This window comes from Homo sapiens, chromosome 16 (assembly GCF_000001405.40).
Source record: "Homo sapiens chromosome 16, GRCh38.p14 Primary Assembly".
Taxonomy (NCBI): domain Eukaryota; kingdom Metazoa; phylum Chordata; class Mammalia; order Primates; family Hominidae; genus Homo; species Homo sapiens.
In genome coordinates this window covers 65,317,623-65,334,243 of record NC_000016.10, presented here as the reverse complement: position 1 = coordinate 65,334,243, position 16,621 = coordinate 65,317,623, and the positions used below count along the sequence as shown (strand labels likewise).

Sequence of the window (16,621 nt, the reverse complement as noted above, 5' to 3'; positions counted from 1 at the left end):
AAGTACTGCTGATGCTCATATTTTTATGGGTTGGAACTCAAAACAGGCTTTCTGCTTTTCCTTCACCAGACACAAGCCTTGCAGCCTGTAGACTTGTTGTTTATTCACCAGTTGGTTCTCTGGGATCATCTTTTTTCCTTTCTTAAGCCATCAGCTGGGGCTTCTTCATTCCCAATGGCTGCCGTGATCGTGCTAAATGTATCTTTCCTCACAGAGCATGAAGTCCCATCCTCCTTCATCAATACTGAGCACAAAATCAATGAAATGGCAGTGTGCATCTGCACACTTCCCTTGAAGCTGATCAACCATTTAGAATGAATTAACATCTAATTGGCAAGCCATCATGCCTAATAATTTTTAGATTTGTTTATTCTTCAGCGTCACATCTCTCAAAACACTGTCAATAGAACAATTATATAGAATCTTCTCGCTGGAAGTCAGTAGAGAAGCATCTTGTTATGTTCTTCTAATTATTACTCAAGGCAAGTTCTTCTAACTCAGCTTCCTTCAATAATAATAATAATAATAGTGACAATAAATAAGATAAAATTATATTGTATATCTCAGCAAAATTGGAGAAACAAGATTTTTCAGCCAAGTCTATAGAATGTGCCTATCTTCCAGGAGTTTGTGTTTTTTTTTCCCCTGCCAAATTCTAATCAGTTTTATATCACCTCTCCACCTCTTTCCTCCCAGTTTTTGTCCTCAAGGACAAGAGCAGGAAAAGTTTCAAAACAATCCTTGGACCTCTACGTCCTTTCCAGAAACCCCGTCAGGTCTTTCCTTATGATGTCAGCCATCTGTTTCATTTTTTAAACAATATTTTTTTTATATTGAGTCTGGAGCCAAAAAAGACAGAACAGAGGAAAATGTCCCATGGAAAAAGATTAGGCCAGATCAACCTAGGCTTGGAAAAATAAACTGGAGGTTTTGAGAATTTTTTTTTAATACTGTTCTTGTTCGAAATACCTTTACACGCTATGAGGCATTCTGTTTTAGTTATTCTATGCAGGGAACAGTGATACAGAGTTGATCCTTTCTTCCCCCAGAAAACAGCAACATCAAGGATATGCCTGTATTTTATAGCAGGGCTACAAATGGAAGTTTGTACCATCTCTGCACAAAGACAAATCAGAGGAGCTTCAAGGGTGTTATGCTCTGTCTCTTGTTCTAGAAGAAGCTTGAGAACCTGAAACATTTTATTTGGCTGAATTTAAATACATCCTATATCTGCCACCCATTCCACTCTTGTTCTCCCTGCCTAGAGTGGTGCCAGCCACCTGACAACATGAATGGAAGTTGCCATACCAGGGGCTTCTGATGCCTGCCTTGTGCAGCCAGGGTTTCTAATGCCTTCTTTGGCTGTCTTTGCAGAGTCTCTTTCCTCCTTACTCTTGGAGGAGTAAGAAAGTCCCACCAACAAGTGAGAGTGTTCCTTCAGATGTCTTGCTCACTACTCCTAAGATATTTACATAGATTACTCTGGGTCTTCACTGAAAGTCAATTGAGTCCCAAGTCACTGACACAGAGCCAGGGACCTTGACAAGATTTCACTCTGTGCTGCAGAGTGACTCTCAGGATCTCAGAATACTTTTACCAAACTGAATCTCTTCTGCCTCTTTATTATCTGAAGCTCTAAAGTTTTAGATTCCAAATATTAGGTTGAAAAGCTTCTTCAACATTTCCTCAAGAAGACCTAAGTAGTTCCTCATGAAATGTGGACTTCTTTTGGACCACTCTGGTATGTTACAGTCTCCAATGTGGGTATGGAAATCAAAGCCCACCCCTTAAATCCTCACTAGGGTGTGTGTGTATGTGCATGTGTGTGTGTGCTTGTGTGTGTGTTTGAGAGTGATGCATGAAGAAGGAAAAGGAAGAGGAGAAAAAAATATGTACCACATTTTCTTTATCCAGTCTACCACCGATGGGCATTTAGGTTGATTCCATGTCTTTGCTATTGTGAATAGTACCATAATGACCATATGAATGCATGTGTCTTTATATTAGAATGATTTATATTCCCTTCAGTATAAGCCCAGTAATGGGATTGCTGGGTTGAATGATATTTCTCTTTTTAGGTCTTTGAGGAATCACTACACTGTCTTCCACAGTGGTTGAACTGATTTACACTCTCACCAAGAGTGAATAAACTTTCCTTTTTCTCTACAACCTTGCCAGCAGCTGTTATTTTTTGACTTTTTATTAATAACCATTCTGACTGGTGTGAGATGGTGTCTAATTGCATTTTTGATTATGTCGAGCTTTCTTTCCTATGATTATTGGCTGCATGTATGTCTTTTTTTGAAAAGTGTCTGTTCACATCCTCTGCCCACTTTTTTAATACACCATAGAATACTACATAGCCATAAAAAAGAACAAGATCATATTCTTTGCAGGAACATGGATGGAGCTGAAGGACATTATCCTTAGCAAACTAATGCAGGAACAGAAAACCAAATACCACGTGTTCTCACTTATAAGTGAGAGCTAAATGATGAGAACACATGAACACATAGAGGGGAACAACACACACTGGGATCTATTGGAGGGTGGAGGGTCAGAGGAGGGAGAGGATCAGGAGAAATAACTAATGGATACTGGGCTTAATACCTGTGTGACAAAAATAATCTGTACAGCAAACCCCCACATTACAAGTTTACCTATATAGCAAACCTGCACTTGTACCCCTGAACTGAAAATAAAAGTTAAAAAAAGAAGATGAAAAATGAAAGACAGAAGAAGAGAAATAGAAGCAAGAGGAGGAAGAGAATGAGGAGGAGGATGTAGAGGAAAAGGAGAAACCATACTCTGCCAAAGTATTTGTGAGTTTAGCTTAAAATCCATTGTCTGATTTTTCTTTTTCTGGCTACATAATATCAACAAACAGTTTGTCTAATTTTTCCTGGCACTGAAATGAGTGCTACATCTTTTAGGATTGAATTTTCCAACAGTTTTGTCCTTGTGTAAAAATGAAGACACTGTTCCCCACCCCTACCCATTTAAACATCACTTCAGCAAAATTCTCCAAGGAAGCAAAAATATTTCATGGGCTCCTTTCTATAGTTCCTCGCAAGCATGCACCACGTCTTTTTGATTCTGACCACTGCCCGGGCGGTGGATGTCTGGATGTCCTAGCCCTCAAGCGAGTTGCTTCAGAGAGCATTGCTTTCTCCTAAAATACTCATCTTGTGAAGATCACTATATTCTTCTTACCTCTAAGGAAAAGCATATGGTACTGAGTCAGTGTTAAGATTCCTGCTAACCTCCTCCACTCAGCAAAGATTTCTGTTTCTTCCTCCTCCCTTCCTCTTTTCCTCCCTCCCTCCCTCCCTCCTTTCTTCCTTCCTGCCCACTTGCCTGAGAGTTATTAATACTTTGCCCAAGTAATTCAATCTTCCTGGCCTTCATTTTCCTGGGGTAAAAATGCTATGTGTGAGGGTTTAAGGTGCCAAAATATTTAGTTTTTTACAACCATAACTTTCTGTCTTTAGTTCAGATTCCTCACTCTGTGACCAACCTCTTTATCTCTTTAATGTAGTATTTCATTGAGTATTTTAGTAACTATTTGCTTCAACCCCTTCCTTTTATCTTGGTTTTCATGAGTTTCAGTGTGATGTGTCTGGGCAGCGTTTTATTGAGTTTATTATGTTTAGAGTTTCCTGAACTTCTTGAACCTGTAAATATATGTCTTTCACCAAATTTGGGAGAAAATAATTATTACTTCAAATTTTTTTCTAACCCAATCTATTTCTCACTTCCTCTCGGACTCCAGTGACAAGAATAGTGGACCTTTTTGTATTGTCTTGAGTTTCTGAAGCAGTATTCTTTCTCCTTCACCCCCACTCATTTTTTTCTTTATATTCTTCAGTTTGAATAATTTAATTGATGTATCTGTAAGCTTACTTTTTCTTCTCTTATCTCCATTCTGTTATTGATTCTATCTAGTGACTATCTTTGCTTAAGACACTGCATTTTTCAATTCTAAAATTTCAATTTGGTTCTGTTTTTAGAGTTGTTTTTTGAGAACCTCTATCTTTCTATACACTAATCCTTATCTCATTGAATGTGACTATAATATCTACGTTAAAGTCTTTGTCTGGTAATTCCAACATCTAGGTCATCTCAAGCATGGATATTTATTGGGATTCTGTTTTTCTGTGGTGAGGATCGGCACACTTTTTCTGTCAAGGGTCAGATAGTAATTGTTTTTAGCTGTGTGGGACATATCGTCTCTGCGGCAACTTCTCAACTCTGACATTGCAGCATGAAAGCTGCAGCAGACAACACATGAATGAATGAGTGTAGTTGTATTCCGATAAAACATTAGACATAGATACTGAAATTTGACTGACATAAAATATTCACGTTTTACAAATAGTTTTCTGATTTTTTCAATCATTAAGAAATGTACAAATTATTCTTATCTTCAGAGCCATACTAATCCTGGTGCTAGTACAAATTTGCTGCATGGACTATAGTGCACCAAGGCCTACCCCTAAGAATTCTTCACAATTTTCTGGTTCCTTTTATGTCAATTCATCTTGGACTGTATTATGGATGGTTAAATATTGTATTGTGAGACTCTAACTCCGTTAAAATCATCTGGAGGACACTGATGTGTTTTGTTTTGACAGTTTTGGTTAGGTACAGATCACAACAAGCTCTGCCTTGCCTTTGGAGGGTCCAACCTAAGTTCTGTTTCCAGTCTTGGCAATGACCCTGTCCTGCATCCCTCAGGAGTTCGTTTGACTGTGTAAACTGTCACCAACCTTGGGTGATGGTTGATATTCTAACTCAGTTCTTGGAAACTTTGCTGTGTTTCTTAGATCTGTTCTGTGCAAGTGCACCTCAGGCATGAACTTGAGATTTCTGGTGGTTAATACACCCAAGTTTTCCAGCTCTCAACAATCTTTTCCCCTGTTTTGTTTTTCTAACCAGAAAGCAATGTTCTTCAGAGGGTTTATCTGCTGCTGGCCATTCCCACATATCTGAGGCTGACCTCGGGGCAATACAATCAGAGAAAAATAGAGAAAAAACAATATGGCTTCTGGCCTCCCCCACTAACAAACACACTCTTCGAAGCACAGACTACCTGACCTCAGAGATGGCTTCTTCTTTTGGGGCTTTACTTTTCAACCCTCTGCATTGCTGCCACCATCACACAGCAATTCAAGCTGGCCTCTGGGCATAACTGGGAGAGAAAAAAAAATTGTGTGTCTCTTGTTCATAGGGATCCCATGCTCTTTGGTACACAGGAACCCCTTTTCTGGCTAGAGTCTCTCAAAGGTTTTGCTCTCCACATCTGCTGTGCAGTTTTGTTCTTGGATCAAAACTGGGAGACAAAGGAGAAAAAAAGAATACCCCTGCGATATTGGTCATTCTTCAAATTCTGACTTCTTTTCCCGATCAACCTGTATCCTTCTCAGAGATTGTAGGTATTTGCTTTTTGCATTCTATCCATAGGTTTTAGTTATAGTCAGTAGGAGAGACAGGATATTGTGAGCCTACTCCATCTTGGCTGGAACTGGAAGTCCCCACCAGAAACTAATGTTCCAAGAAGGAAAGTGACTTGTACAAAGTCACAAGAAAAGGTAGTGAAAGAGGTAGAACCAGAACCTGTCACATCTGGTTCTTTTTGGTTGCCCTCTTTTGAGAGTCAATATGGCATATTTTTATGGAGGAGAGTGAAAGGACAAGTGGAGTCCGATGAATATTGGACTCCCTTCCCCCAAGGTGCTCTGTGATGCTCACCACCCGGATGCCCATATCTCGGTACTCACTGGGGGTTCTGACAGTACCACATCAGCTTGTCTTACCCATGGGTGAGGCCTGCTAAAAGTATGTGAGAAAGTTATATAAAACTCCTGCAGTCACTCAATAATGGCAATGATGGCGATGATGGAAATGTCTGTATTTGTGAAGGAGGGTGTGTATTTTTATATGTGTACCTGGGTGAATGCTTATGCATGGTTATTCATGCATATGTGTCAGTGTTTCTTTATAAGTGTGTATGTGCCATATGTGTATGTTAAGACCCTGAGTCTGATTTAAGAAATTAAGTTGCCTAATACAAATTTGGCAGATGAAAAAGCACTATGACTCTGACAATTTAAATAATTACTTTCTAGTGGGTCAAAATTTGAATACCATTTTTCTTAATATGTCATGAGACATAACCAATTACATTCAATCTGTCTATTTGAAGACATTAATACATAATAGAATGATAGAGAAAAAACATTAGAGGTAAGTTAGTGATGAGCCTCAGTCTTAAATGCTAGTACAAAACCATAACTAAACCCAGACTCTTTCTGCGTAACTTTCCTCTCACCAGAAAGAACAGAGTGTTGAGTCTCTGTCCCTATCTCCCAGTCACATGTACTCTTCTGCAATGCTGGATTTTCTCATGCTATGCCTATATATCTTTGTTTTCAAGACACCTATTTTCTCACATAAAATCTACACATTAAAGCACAACCTTGCCTTCAGAATTATTTCTAGGAGATGGGAAATGAGGAAGAGAGGCTGAGTTTGGCTTCAGATATCTGGAATAAAATGCTTTGATGGTTCCATTTAGAAATGGCACTAGAAGGCCTGTCAAAATGTCCCAGATAGCAATCAGGTGGCACACTTCTGGGGTCACATTTTTTGTGGATGAGACAGTGGTTCATATTCCATTCCTGCTGCATTGAATAAGCTTAATTTGCAATCTTCTTTATTGCAATTGGACTCTGATTTATCTAACAGCATGTTTGGGAAAGGAAGGAACATTTTAGTGATTGTGTTTTAGGAAATGGCTGAGGATAAGGTCTGAGCCACTTCAGCATTCCAGCTCTCGGTGGGACACTTGATAAGCATGATTTCATTGGCATGATGGCTCACGCCTGTAACCCCAGCACTTTGGGAGCCAAGGCAGGTGGATGACTTGAGGTCAGGAGTTCGAGACCAGCCTGAACATCACAGAGAAACCCTGTCTTTACTAAAAATACAAAAAAATTTAGCCAGGCATGGTGGCACATGCCTGTAATTCCAGCTACTTGGGAGGCTGAAGCTGGAGAATTGCTTGAACCTGGGAGGCAGAGATTGCAGTGAACCGAGATGGTGCCGTGGCACTCCATCCTGGGCAACAAGAGCGAAACTCCATCTCAAGAAAAAGAAAAAAGAGTAGGTAGGTATTATTATTCCTATGCAATAGATGGACAACTGAAGTTCAGGGAGCTAAAGTAATAAACTGAAATTACAAAAACTAGTATTCCTTATCCACATAGCTTTGAAGTCCACTTCTGGAACTAGGTCTTAAGTCTGCTAACCTTTTCAATATAATAAACTAACAATATATTGAATTATAAGCAACAATTTATTTGCACACTCATTTTTGGACTGGGCTCAGCTAAGTAGCTCTTCTGCTAAATTCTCCTTGAGTCAAGTATGTGTGCATAGTTATTAGATGGTGAGTGAGGCTATTTATTGCAAGATGGCTGCATTCGCATGCCTAATGAACTGGGATTTCAGCTGAGATGTTTGTCTTTTTTCTCATGTCCTTTCCAGCAGGATAGCACTAGTGTTCTTACAGAGTGGTCACAGAATTCCAAGACTTCAAGTTTGTGTGCAAGTGCTTATCAAGCCTCTCTGTGTCAAGTTAGCTTACATCTCGTTAGCCAAAGAAATTTACATTATCAAGCCTACAGTCAATCTGCTGGTCGGGGGGCGGCGGGGGAGAATGATTTTCATAACATATTTTAGGAAGCATAATTTATTGATGGCTATTACTGTAATAATCTCCCATAGTGGTTTTCAAATCTAGGTCTGTTTGATTTCAATGAAAGCTACTTTACCCATCAAATAAAGCTGATATCATATTGCTTCAGGGTTTCTTATGTGATTTCTCTGTCTATCCCATTATCAACATCAGTAAGATGATAAATTAAAACCCATACACATCCACAGGCAAAATTTCCACACACATTTCACAAATGAACTGACAGGTATGCACAAAAAACAGCCCAATTTAAAAAGCAAGAGACCCAATGTCAAAAGGACACAAGAGCCAATTAAAAGAGTTTCCAATGGCCAAATCTGGAACAATCTATGCAACTAAGTAAAGGAGTATTAGATTGTAGCCCAAAGTACACAATAAATATCCATGAATTCATACTGCTATAGATAAAAAATTAAGAAAGAAAGAAAAGATAAATCTCCAATGCAGAAAAATCCCCCAAAAAAGTATATAGATCCTCCATCCTTTAGAAGGTCGCATATAACCTCCAACATCTTAGTGTGGTCTGTGCATAGTGACTTTCTCCTGAAGATCACAGTATGGAAAGGAATAGAGGGATAGTAACTTTGCAGGAGAGAGATTTGAAAAGCATTACTTTAGCCAGGTGATCAAGTCAACATTGACAGTGATAAGTTGAGTCGTGTTAATGGTCTGTATCCTTGATATGATATAATGAAAATAGCACTTTACCTCTGTGTTCTTCCTCTCCAAAACCCCAGTCAGACCCACTGAGCAATGTATTAAAAATTGTCTGGGCGGGGCTTGGTGGCTCATGCCTGTAATCCCAGCACTTTGGGAGGCCGAGGTGGGAGGATCACGAGGTCAGGAGTTTGAGACCAGCCTGGCCAACATAGTGAAATTCCGTCTCTACTAAAAATACCAGGGCGTGGTGGCGTTCGCCTGTAATCTCAGCTACTCAGGAGGCTGAGGCAGGAGAATCGCTTGAACCCAGGAAGAGGAGGTTGCAGTGGGCCGAGATTGTGCCATTGCACTACAGCCTGGGTGACAGAGCAAGACTCTGTCTCAAAAAAAAAAAAAAAATTGTCTGACCAATACTCCTCAGAACTCTTAAGGTCATCAGAATCAAGGAAAGTCTGAGAAAACTGTCACAGCCAAAGGAGCATAAGACAACATTACAAATAAATGTAATGTTATATCCTGGATGGGATTCCAGAAGAGAAAAAGGATATTAGGTAACAAATACAGGGCTCTGAATAAAGTATGGACTTTAATTAGTAGTAATATATCAATATTGATTCATTAATTGTAAAAAATATGCCATCTTACTGTAAGATATTAACTGGTTGAGGGCTATTTGGGAACTGTGCACCATGTTTGCCATTTTTCTGTAAACCCAAAACTGCTGTGAGAAATAAAGGTAATTAAAAATAAAAGCAAAAAATCAGACTAGAAATATATTCTCAATGTAGATAGTAGACAAAGAGCTGATTTTTTAGCATACAAAAATATTAACTAAGCTAATAAAAAACCATAGGACCTCAGTACACAATGAACAAGGGACACACACCAATCATTTATAGTTAAAGATAAGCATAAATAGGCACATGGAAAGCAAAGTTTGATAACTAGTAATGAAAAATAATGAAATATGAATTACTTTAACTGTTTTAAACCTAGAACCATTTAAAAAATAATAATCTGTTTTGATTAAGAAGCTGGACAGGCATGGTGGCTCACGCCTGTAATCCCAGCACTTTGGGAGGCTGAGGTGGGCAGATCTTTTGATGACGGGAGTTCCAGAGCAGCTTGGCTAACATAGCGAAACCCTGTCTCTACTGAAAATACAAAAAAAGTAGCGGGGTGTGGTGGTACACACCTGTAATCCCAGCTACTCAATTACAGGGAGGCTGAGGCGGGTGAATCACATGAACCTGGAAGTTGGAGACTACAGTGAGCTAATGTTGTGCCACTGCACTCCAGCCTGGGGGATAGAGCGAGACTCTCTCTCAAAAAAAACCAAAAAAAGAGAAAAACCATGCAAGAGATGATAAACCAGTAAACCACAGTTGAAAATTAATTTAAAAATCACTCAATGTGTTAATTATTTTCTTCATAGTAATGCCATTTCTGTTATTTTTTTGGAAAGTAATATATATGTAGCATATTTTCCATAGAAATACAATAATCATAGAACTGTTTATAAATATGTAAACTTAGAAACGACTTACATCCTCAGCAATAGAGGAGTAAATTATCCTTTGTTCACCCACTTGATAAAACCATATTAAATAACTAAAATGATATACTTATTCTTTTTTAAAAATTTTATTTCCATAGGTTTTTGGGAAACAGGTGGTACTTGGTTACATGAGTAAGTTCTTTAGTGGTGATTTGTGAAATTTTAGTGCACAAATCACCCAAGCAGTATACACTGAATCCAATTTGTAGTCTTTTATCCCTCACCCGCCTCCTATCCTTCTGTCCAAGTCCCTAAAGTTCATTGTATCATTCTTATGCCTTTGCATCCTTATAGCTTAGCTCCAACTTATGAGTGAGAACAGATGACGTTTGTTTTTCCATTCCTGAGTTACTGCACTTAGAACACTAGTCTCCAGTTCCATCTAGGTTGCTGTGAATGCCATTAATGTGTTCCTTTTTATGGCTGAGTAGTATTCCATTGTGTGTGGGTGTGTGTGTGTATATATTATTGTGTATATATACTATATATATACACTATAAATATATACAATGTATATATAATGTACTATATATTTATATATAAATACAATATATAAAATACACAATAATATATACACACTATATACAGTATATATAATATATACTATATATAATATATACTATATTATACATAGTATATACTATAGTATATAGTATATATAGTATATTATATTTTATATAATATAATATAATATTTTATATTGTATTATATATTATCTAATTATATCTTATATATGAATATTACATATAATATACATATAATATATTGTATATAATATACATTATATATCTAATATATAATATATTAGATATAATATATAATATACATCATATATAATATATATTATTATATCTAATCTAATATATATTAGATCTAATAAATATTAGATATATATATATATATATAGATATATCTAATATATATTAGATATAATAAATATTAGATCTAATATATATTATATCTAATATATATAAGATATAATATATTAGGTATAATAATATATTATATCTAATATAATATGTATTAGATATAATAATATCTTAGATATAATAATATATTATTATATCTAATATATTAGATATAATATCTTAGATATAATAATATATTATATCAATATAATATATATTAGATATAATAATATATTAGATATAATAATATATTAGATATAATAATATATTAGATATAATAATATATTATTATATCTAATATAATATATATTAGATATAATAATATATATTAGATATAATATATTATTATATCTAACATAATATATATTATATCTAATAATATATATCTAATATATTATATATTATATCTAATAATATATATCTAATATATTATATATTATATCTAATAATATATCTAATATATTATATATTATATCTAATAATATATCTAATATATTATATATTATATCTAATAATATATCTAATATATTATATATTATATCTAATAATATATCTAATATATTATATATTATATCTAATAATATATATATCTAATATAATATACATTGTATCTAATAATATATATATCTAATATATATTATATCTGATAATATATTATCTAATATAATATATATATCTAATAATATATTATCAGATATAATATATATTATATCTGATAATATATAATATATATTATATAAAATATAAATTATATAATGTATATATAATACATATATATAATATATGTATACTTATATATATAATTATGTATATATTATATATAATATATATTATATATAAATGTATATAAATATATATTATGTAATTATATATTAGATAATATATATTATATACTGTATAATATAGTATAGTATAGTACATATAGTATATATAATATAGTATATATATATATAAATATATATAATATGATATATAATTATATATTATATATATATATTTTATATATATTTATATAATTATATATATTTTATATAATTATATATATTATATATTATATATTATATATACATTATATAACTTATATTTTATATATATTATATATAATATATATATTAGATATAATTATATATTATATATAATATATATTAGATATATAATGTATATTATATATATTATATATATAATATTCATATATAATATATATAATTAGATAATATATGATACAATATAATATATATTATATTATATTATATAAAATATGATACAATATAATGTATAATATATTATATAAAATATAATACAATATAATATATATTATATAAAATATAATACAATATAATGTATATTATATTATATAAAATATAATACAATATAATGTATATTATATTATATAAAATATAATACAATATAATGTATAATATATTATATTATATAAAATATAATATATATGGTTTATATTATATATTATATAATATATATGGTATATATTATATATTATATAATATATATGGTATATATTATATACTGTATATTATACCATATATAGGATATATACTATATAGTATATTATATGTACTATATATACTATATATATAATATATACTATATAGTATATAGTATATACACTGTATATATACTATATATACTATAGTATAGTATATATGTATACTATATAGTGCATACATATGATATGATAGTATACATATCGTATCACACTGTGGTTTTGATTTGCAGTTCCCTGATCATTTGTGATTTTGAGCATTTTTTCATATGTTTGTTGGCAATTTCATATATTCTTTTGAGAATTGTCCTTAGCCCATTTTATGATGGGATTTTTTCTTGCTAATTAGTTTGAGTTTACCTGACTTCAAACTATGCTGTAAGGCCATAGTCACCAAAACAGCACAGTACTGGTGTAAAAATAGGAACATATACCAATGGGACAGAATAGAGAACCCAGAAATAAACTCAAATACTTACAGCCAACTGATCCTCAACAAAGCAAACAAAAACGTAAAGTGGGGAAAGGACACCCTATTCAATAAATCATGCTGAAATAATTAGCAAGCCACATGTAGGCGATTGAAACTGGATGCTCATCTCCCACTTTATACAGAAATCAACTCAAGATGGACCAAGGCCTTAAATATAAGACATGAAACTATAAAAATGCTAGAAATAACATCAGAAAAACCCTTCTAGCCATTGGCTTAGGCAAAGACTTCTTGACCAAGAATCCAAAAGCAAATGCAACAAAAACAAAGATAAACAGGTGGGACTTAATTAAACTAAAGAGCTTCTGTACAGCAAAAGGAACAATCAGCAGAGTAAACAGACAACCCACAGAGTGGGAGAAAATTTTCATAGTCTGTACATCTGACAAAGGACTAATATCTAAAAAGATATTTTTAATAATAATATAACAACATAGAAAAGTGTCAGTGTAATAAAACTTGATAAGTGGCCAAAGGTAAAAGTTATCTATATACCATTTTAATGCTTACATTAACAAATGCATAGATTTAACAGACTGAAAAAATATATTACCTCTGAAAATAGCTTTATTTGCATTTTGGTCTAGTTGCACCTTTTGTTCTTAAACTCTTTTCTGAATTTTGATTTATGAACAAGCATTCTATTTGAACAACAATCAATAAAAGTTCAAAAAGTATGATGAAGAAAAAAATTGCAATTTTCCAGAATAGCAAAATCTGTTGTATTTGTCAGGTAGGGCTTTAAAATTTTTGTTTCAACTTATCCCAGACTATTTTTGAACTATAATTGAATATATATAAATGTTATTAATAAAAGTAAACACCCAAATAACTGATATGTTTTATGTGTCCCCCTAGACTTAATTTGTACAAAAAGAAAAATTTATAGAATTGAAGTGATGACCATCTATATAAATCAGTTTGAGATCCCGTGGGCTTATCTGCATATCTGTGTGTGTACACACAACAAACAGAGATCTTGTGGAAAACACTGAAAAAAAAACAGTTATTTCTTTAAAATTGTCTTTTTAGAATTGCTTAGGTTGTTTTGTAATTTACTGTTTGCAGTTCATATTTTTTCTAATTATTGTTAAGTGGAACAGTATAAATTGATTTCATTTTCCCTTGCAAGAATGTTTGCCTTGCTATCCAGGAAATGGTATTTTTCTGTTGAACCTAAGTATTACCTTACAACTGGATCCTGAACGTCTTAACAGGTACCCATACATTGATGGATAGGTTGATTGATGAGGTCTGCTCTAGTCTGAAGGCAAAGGTTGAGATTACTGCCAGTCTTGCTGCTGTCAGTGAGTATCCCCAACCAACGTTATCCCTTTGTAAGACATCAGCTGTCACTGGAGCCCAGGCAGCAGTAGACAAAAGCAGCTGATAAGCATCCCCCAATCCTGATAAGGTTTTCTAGACACCCAGAAACTTCCCCTCACATACTGAAGTACTTTCTCTAGACAGATGAGAAAGCTGTTTTAAAGGTCCACAGTCTGACCTGTAGCTCAAATTATTTGAGCCCAGATTTAAACCATTTTAGGAATGCACGAGACATTTGGACCCACGGGCTTCCCGGGACAATAGCCTGAAGCAAAATTAGCAGTAGCACAGAGTCCAGGTAAAGGGATTCTGCTTTATTGTGGGGATGGAGTGAGTCTGTTAAGACACTCGTTTGTCAAATAAGAATAATCACATTTCCTGCATAGGGTTGCTATAAGAATTTCATTTTAAAAAAATTAAAAGAGAAACATCTATACAAATTTCTTTTATATATATATATATATATATATAATTATATTTTAAGTTCTAGGGTACATGTGCACAATAAAACATGTAGCAAATAATAAGTGTTCCAGAAATATGAGCCATTATTTAGGCAGAAGCACAACTTTGGCCTTGCTGAGAATAGATCTACCTTTTCAGAATTTCAGAAAATTTCCATGGAGTAATGACTAAACTCAGAGAGATAACACCCATATTCTAGTTTTTTTTTTTTAAATAGGTATTTATTTTCTTATCTTGCTTATAGAGTGGTAATGAACAAGAAATAAGTGAAGAATGTATTGGATAAAAATTCTCCATAGTTAGAATTATTTTAAAAATAAATAAATTGAGAAATGTCACTTTTCTGCAGAAAATTCTTCAAACACCAAAAATCCTTAACAGAGAGCCTATAGGGCCTTCACCCCTACCTACCCCTCTAACTGCTGGAGAAACTCCAGCCACATTAAACAGACTTTCTGACCTTCCATTGAGCTGTACTCTTTCCTGCCTCCAGGCCTTTATTCAGGCTCTTCACACCCTGGAGAGCCCTTTCTTGTGGATTTGACTGCTTGATTCTTATTCATTCTGCAGATTTCCTTTAAATATCACTGGGTCAACAGGCCATCCTGACCCTGCAGTCTAAGTTATGTCTTGTTCTGTTATTCTGTCTTATAAGACATTGTGATTTCCCTCCTTTACCCTTAGCACTTATAAGGAGTTTTAATTATGTAATTATCTGTGTGTCTGTGTGTTAAAAGTCCAACTTCAGCACTGGGTTGTCAGCATGGCATCAGGCAGGACCATGTCTGCTGTGCTCATTAGCTCAAGCCAGCATGTGGGGAAATGCCTGGCACACCACAGGCTTTGCATAAATTGTGGCAAATAAACCACCAAATCAGTAAATGAATGAATGATATGAACAGCAATATTATTATGACTGCAATTTTAATAACAAAGCTGAGGGCACTCATGAAAGGTTCCCTCTTGGCAGGGTGAGTTTTCTGGGTTTTTTGTTTGTTTGTTTTTCCTCTACTCTGCATTCTCTTGGGCTCCTCCTTTTGGAGTTTCTAAGTTCAAATATTTCGTGTAGCTCCTTCACCTTCCCCTGCTGGGCTTCCAGAGGAGAAGTATCTGGAGCTCTCGCTTCACTTTCCTCCTAGTGACACACAAATCACGCTCCATTCTGGGTCCTTTCTCCCGCCTGCCAGAAACCTCCTCTCCAGCTGCCTGCTGAGTAGGATCCCATCAGCTACACTGGCTATGATTTCAATTACTGATTAGGGCCTCATGTCGACCTCTCCTGCATGCATCTGCCTGCTAATCCGTGCATCAACACACATGCGGACTCGCTAATGGAATTCCTGGCATCAGGAGAAGATCGGGGAAGGGATATTCCAAGGATGAGGGCAGGGAGTGCCTACAAAGCCTTTCTTGTCCTCCACAAATCACCTTTCAAAGACTCAAAGAACCATACCAGTAAGATGAGACATATGGTCAAATGGGTTTAGAAACAAATCAACAAATTAAAAAAAAAAAAAAGACTGCTTAATAATATGAACAGTGTGATCTTATTATAGTAACAAAGTATATGTAAGCATAGTTAATGCCTGTCAGGATATATCCCTGGGAGTTTAATCAGGCTTATCTGTTTGTGGTAGAATTAGGGGTTTGATATGTATTATATATCTATATAATTACATTTTAGTATGTATTCTACTGTCAAAAAAAACTCACCGTACTTTTGCAAAAGAAAAAAACTAATAATTTAAAAGCAAATTGAAGGCTGGGCATGGTGGCTCATGCCTGTAATCCCAGCACTTTGGGAGGCTGAGGTGGACAGATCACCTGAGGTCAGGAGTTCAAGACCAGCCTAGCCAACATGGTGAAACCCTGTCTCTACTAAAAATACAAAAAATTAGCTGGGCACAGTGGCGGGCACCTGTAATGCCAGCTACTTGGGAGGCTGAGGCAG

At 34.4% G+C, this 16,621-nt stretch overlaps 2 long non-coding RNA genes across 3 annotated transcripts in view, besides 3 other annotated features; one reads left to right on the top strand and one right to left on the bottom strand.

Moving 5' to 3' along the window:
- Nucleotides 1-16,621, bottom strand: part of LOC124903780 (uncharacterized) — a 161,687-nt gene that overhangs the window by 59,487 nt on the left and 85,579 nt on the right. The gene's annotated exons all lie outside the window — the stretch shown is intronic.
- LINC00922 (long intergenic non-protein coding RNA 922) overlaps nt 1-16,621 on the top strand; it is a 291,796-nt gene that overhangs the window by 242,054 nt on the left and 33,121 nt on the right. The gene's annotated exons all lie outside the window — the stretch shown is intronic.
- Nucleotides 10,437-12,581: a tandem repeat, named in NCBI's record as "fragile site, distamycin A type, rare, fra(16)(q22.1)".
- Nucleotides 11,246-11,474: a repeat instability region, noted in NCBI's record as "repeat instability region; expansion of the 33 nt AT-rich repeat results in chromosome fragility at this site". NCBI's record gives the evidence for it as "EXISTENCE:polymerase chain reaction evidence [ECO:0000082][PMID:9039263]" and "EXISTENCE:Southern hybridization evidence [ECO:0000078][PMID:9039263]".
- Nucleotides 14,903-15,614: an enhancer, noted in NCBI's record as "OCT4-NANOG-H3K27ac hESC enhancer chr16:65352533-65353244 (GRCh37/hg19 assembly coordinates)". NCBI's record gives its function as "activates a minimal SCP1, AML or CMV promoter by ChIP-STARR-seq in naive and primed H9 embryonic stem cells {active_cell/tissue: H9 hESC(naive and primed)}" and the evidence as "EXISTENCE:reporter gene assay evidence [ECO:0000049][PMID:30033119]".